The 5576-nt window shown below is 44.4% G+C and overlaps 1 annotated feature.

The window, feature by feature from the left end:
- Positions 4051 to 5250: an enhancer, noted in NCBI's record as "MED14-independent group 3 enhancer chr10:99885542-99886741 (GRCh37/hg19 assembly coordinates)". NCBI's record gives its function as "activates an origin of replication core promoter dependent on BRD2, BRD4, P300/CBP and CDK7 cofactors, and independent of MED14, by STARR-seq in HCT116 cells {active_cell/tissue: HCT116}" and the evidence as "EXISTENCE:reporter gene assay evidence [ECO:0000049][PMID:35650434]".

Here is a 5576-nt window from a genome sequence, read left to right as displayed (position 1 = left end):
CACGCAGTGGAGAACACACAAGCATGGTCCCTACTGTAACGGAGCTTATAATCTAGCAGATAAAACAAGAAATAAGCAAAGAACTCTGTACTTTCAAATGGAGCAGGCTGCTGTGCAGTAGAACATCCTGGCCATGAATGACAGTTGATATGGTTTGGATTTGTGTCCCAATCCAAATCTTATGTCGAATTGTAATCACCAATGTTGGAGGTGGGGCCTGGTGATTGGATCATGTGGGCGTATTTCTCCCTTGCTGTTCCCGTGACAGTGAGTTCTCATGAAATCTGATGGCTTAAAAGTGTGCGGCACCTCGCCGTCTTTCTCTTTCTCCTATTCCAGAAATGTAGGATGCACCTGCTTTCCCTTCACCTTCTGCCATGATTGTAAGTTTCCTGAGGCCTCTCTGGCCATGCTTCCTGTAGAGCCTGCAGAACCATGAGACAATTAAACCTCTTTTATTTATAAATTACCCAGTCTCAGGTAGTTCTTTATAGGAATGCAAGAACCAATGACTACAGTGATGGACATAAAATACTACACTACTTTAACAAGGTGGTCTAAGAAGACCTCTCTGAGTAGACAACCTTTCCACTGAGCACTGAAGGTTGAGAAAGAGATGGAGAACCGGGGAAAGTGTGCTCCAGCCAAAGGGATCAGACCACACAAAGAAAGAGCCAGGCTGTTTGAGGGACAGAGTGGTCCGTTTTCCTGGGGTAGAGAGAGTGTAGTTTAAGTGGTCTAGATGACCTGAGGTGGTAATTAGAGCCAGGTATGCACAGCCTCAAGGCCATGGTCAGAACCCTGGATTAAATTATAGCCACCAAAAAGGGGGTTTTAAAAAGAGGATGATGTTATCTGATTCATATTTTAATGCAATTGCTCCTGCTTTGGTTTAGAAGACTGGAGTAGAAGTGGGAGCCCATCTATTGCAGTAGGCTAGGTGAGAAATAATGAAACAAAGTGCTTGCAGAGGGATGGAGAGAAGTGGGTGTATTTGATCTTTTGAGTCAACAGGACTTGCTGATGGATTGAATATAGGAGAGGATGGACTGGTGAAGGAAAAAGAGGACCCAAGGGCACTAATAGGTTATATCCATCTCTGTATCTTCAGCCCCTAGAATTGGGCCTTGCACATAGTAGGTATACTATAACTGTGTCGAATAAACTTATTTATTTTACTTGCTAAACTCTGTGCCCCATCACTGTCACATTCCTTAATACAGGGCCTCTACTAACCCATATAGTAGTGTTATGAAAATTAGGAAAAAGTGCTCCCTTCCTTCAGATGGTCATGGCCCATCACCAGGGTGCAGAATATGGACGAGATTTCAGCTACCACTTACCCCCTCAGCTGGTGCCCCTGTGCAGTGCACAATGTGCACAACCACATACAGCAGCCCCAGCTTAACATCCCTGGGAGATGGCTTTGTGGCATTAAGCCCAGTATTTATGGGGAGAATTTGAGGTCCAGGGGAAGGAAGCTGCTTGCCTGGGGTCGCCAGAGCTACTCAGAGCTGCTGCTATGACTGAGATTCAAACCTCTGCCCTCTGATTCCCTACGGGCTCTTTAGCCTCGGAGCCACACTGTCTCTCCCAAATCACTCAGCCCATCAATAAAACACTAAATTCAAAATGGTGACTTTGCTTTCTCGAGTTTCTCATCTGTCTCAGTTACTATTGTTAGAGTATTTCACATTTACATAGTAGCCAGTATGTGCTCAGTGCCTTACAAAATACAATAAAGGAATATGAAACCAAAGGACCTTGTGTGTGTTTTTTTTAACAGAATAAATAAGAAATTGCTGGCTTAAAAGGCCCTTAGCTCTTGGATAATGAGCTGTGGTATATTGGTTTAGAGTGATGCTATAAGCGATATTTTTTTTTTTAATTGCTCGTGTGCGAACTGTTTTTCTTTTGCATCCTGGACAAGAAGGAAGAAATGTTGGAGCAGCTGGCTTCAGAAATGTAAAGTAGGGAGAAGGTCAGGGGTGGGTCTCAAAGACATAAGGAAGAGAAAGAAACACCCTAGAGGAGGAAAGTGACACCTGTCGCTTCGTAATGAATAGCATTTAACAGTTAACAAGGGCTCAATGTGTGCCAGGAGCTGCGCTAAACCCTTTACATGCCTGATTGAAGTCAATCCTCACACAGCCCTACCAGATAGGATCTATAAATGCCATCATTTTACATTGGAGGAAGCTGAGGCAGAGAGAGATTACATAATATGCCCAAGGTTATGCAGCTAATAAGTGACAAACCTGAGATTTGAACAAAGACAGTGTGGCTCCAGAGTCTGAGCTGTCAACTACTGTTGTATACTGCCTCTAATACAGATGTTCCTGGTGCCAAGTGCCCTTTTTCAGCAGTGTGACCCTTTCAAGTCCTGAGATAGTTAATAGAGGATATCTGGTTCTCAAACACTTAGGAATTGTATGTTGCCTGTCTGCTCGGTGATTAGGGCAGGGTTATCTGCAGCCTAGCTTCAAAATGGACAGTTTGAACAAGGGATATATAAGACAAAAAGGGTGTTTATAAGGTTATATAAAAGACCAAACCCTGCTGGGGAACATTTTACAATCTCCTCTGAGTTTCAGTATTCTCCCAATATAATACCATAATTACCCGTATGGTATGGAAGGTGGAGGAGAAAATGTTATCAGGAGAGCAGGATTAAATAAGCCTTCCCCTTGGATATGTGGGCTCTGATCGGTCCCTCCTAACTTGAGGATTCTTTCTTTTTGTGACTTTCAGTTCATGAGCACAGAGGATCCAAATTTTACTGGGCTTTTAGGTATTGGATTCTCCCCTCATGGCTAGTGTGGGCAAGTGCTGCTATTTAGAACCGCAGGGGTCTCAGGCATCAACTGGACGAAAGGTACGATTTTGGGGGACAATAGGAGGCCAGGCCATCAACACGTAGCTTCCATTTAATTCCTGAGGAAAAGCAGGATAGAGAACTCTGAAAGACCCCAAAGTCTAGGTTAGGAACCCAGAGAACTCTAGCTCTAATTCAAGCCATCTTAAGAAGAGCATGGTGGCAACTATTGCTTGGGTGGAATCTCTGTGCTTGAGGTCATAGCATCAGATGGTAATATCCAATTGTGAGTTATACCAGCACTTCTCCCCACCCCACACCATATCCATACACTCCCTCACAATTAGCTTTACTGCACCAAGTCTGGTCTATCCACTTCTTGATCTCAAGGCTTGCATGTCTAAACTATCCAATGCCACATTGCCCATTTCAGGGGTAGGGCTTAGCAATATTATGGCAATATTACGCCACATTCATCTTGACTCTATTATCTGAGAACAAAGACTCCTTAGAGCTGTAATTGATAAATACTCTGGTAATTTCTTCCACTTAAAACCTCACAGCTCAGCTCTGACCAAGCCAGTCAGATATTTAGAGCTGGACTTTTTGGTTCTAACAATGCCCTGATTTTGACATCTCAACTCCTATCTCAGGAGGTGCAGCAAGCCACATCTCTCACCCCAAGGTGCTGCCAGGGGCCCATGGTATTGATTAGAAGCTGTGCCGAGCACCTAGCAGGAGCTAGAAGGCAAAGCAAATGGATACAGAAACAAACTTGAGACTAGGACCCTGCAAATGCCTGCTGCTATAAAGCATGTAACCTTAGATGATTCACTAAAACTCAGTTTCCTCATCTGTAAAATGGAGACCCACCAAGACCACCTGTCTCATCAGGTAATCATGAATATTTAGTCATATAATGGATAGGAAATGGTTTCATAAACTAGCTAACAAGGAAAAAGGTAAATGTATATTACATAAAGTTTTGCTCCTAAGGGACAGATCAGGGTGAGGAACAATTAGATTTTTTAAATTGAGATGCTGATTCTTTTTTCAGTCAGGAGATTGGTTGAGGCTGAGTGACTCTTCTTCAAGGTTTCCTTCCCAGGACACAACTTCTCAGTTTCAGACCCTCTCCCTTGGCCCCATAGCACTCAAAAAGTCATGGTCCCCAATCAACTGCCACCTAGTGCATTGCATATACAGTTGGCTCTCTATGTCTATGAGCTCTGCACCTACAGATTCAACCAACCTTGGATAGAAGATGTGGTTAGATTTAAGATGGTTGCATCTGTACTGAACCTGTACAGACTTTTTTTCTTGTCATTATTCCCTAAACAATCAGTATAACAATTAACAATTGTTTACATGGCATTTACATTGTATTAGGTATTGTAAGTAACCTAGAGATGATTTAAAACATGCAGGAAGGGATTAAGATGGCAGATAGGAGGCGGGATTAGCTTGTAGTCCCTGTTTAGAGGGACAGAGCAGCATGTGGAGACTCATGTCATAAACTTTTGCTCCAATAACTACCACAGGAACATACCAGGAAAGCCGAGATAATCCACAGACCCTTTGAAGGAACTGGATCGCTGCTGCAGGCTCTCTGAGACATGGAAAAACTGTGAGTCTGCTTACTTTCTTAATGGGAAGGCTTGTGGTTTGGGGCAAGTTCTCAGTCCTGATCACCTGCTGCCTGAAAATAGACTCGGTGCTGTTTGGGGAGGGGGTGGGCACAGTAGGAGTGAGACCAGCCTTTAAAACTGTGGGCAGCATGGGAGTGGGGTGAAGCCTATGACTGCCAGCTTTCCCTCACTTCCCTGGCAGACTGTATGACTCAGCAGAGGCAGCCATAATCCCCCTGGGAATATAACTCCACTGGACTGGGAACCACATCCCCATCCCCCACAGCAGCCACAGCAAGCCCCGCCCAAGGAAAGACTGAGCTCAGACACACACCTATCCCTGCCCCCATCTGGTGGTCTTTCTCTACCCGCTCTCGTAGCCAAAGACAAAGGTCATAATCTCTTGGGAGCTTTATGGCCTTACCCACTGCCTGAGAAACATGAATACTTAACCAGGTGAACCTAGGGCAAGTCTGCATCCTCCCTATAGGACTGCAGCTGATGCATTCTTGAAAGCACCACTTCCTGGTTTGATTTAGTTTGGCTGTGTCCCCACCCAAATCTCACCTTGAATTGTAATAATCCTCACGTGTCAAGGGTGGGGCCAGGTGGAGATAATTCAATCATGGGGGCCATTTCCCCTGTACTGTTCTGGTGGTGGTGAATAAGCCTCATGAGATCTAATGGTTGTATAAATGGGAGGTCCCTGCACAAGCTCTCTCTTGACTGCCACCATGTAAGATGTGACTTTGCTTCTCCTTTGCCTTCCGCCATGATTGTGAGGCCTCCACAGCCATGTGGAACTGTAAGTTCAGGCCATTAAACCTCTTTCCTTTATAAATTACCCAGTCTCAGGTATGTCTTTATTAGCAGTGTGAGAACAGACAAATACAGTAAATTGATACCAGGTAGTGGGGTGCTGCTGTAAAGATACCCAAAAATGTAGAAGTGACTTTGGAACTAGGTAACAAGTTGAAACAGTTTGGAGAGCTCAGAAGAGGACAGGAAGATGTGGGAAAGTTTGGAACTTCCTAGAGACTTGTTGAATGACTTTGACCAAAATGCTGATACTGCTATGGATAATGAAGTCCAGGTTCAGGTGGTCTCAGATGGAGCTGAGGAACTTGTTGGGA

This window comes from Homo sapiens, chromosome 10, assembly GCF_000001405.40.
Source record: "Homo sapiens chromosome 10, GRCh38.p14 Primary Assembly".
Classification (NCBI taxonomy): Eukaryota; Metazoa; Chordata; class Mammalia; order Primates; family Hominidae; genus Homo; species Homo sapiens.
Note: the sequence above shows the minus strand (reverse complement) of the source record. Positions and strands in the feature narration are given on the sequence as shown.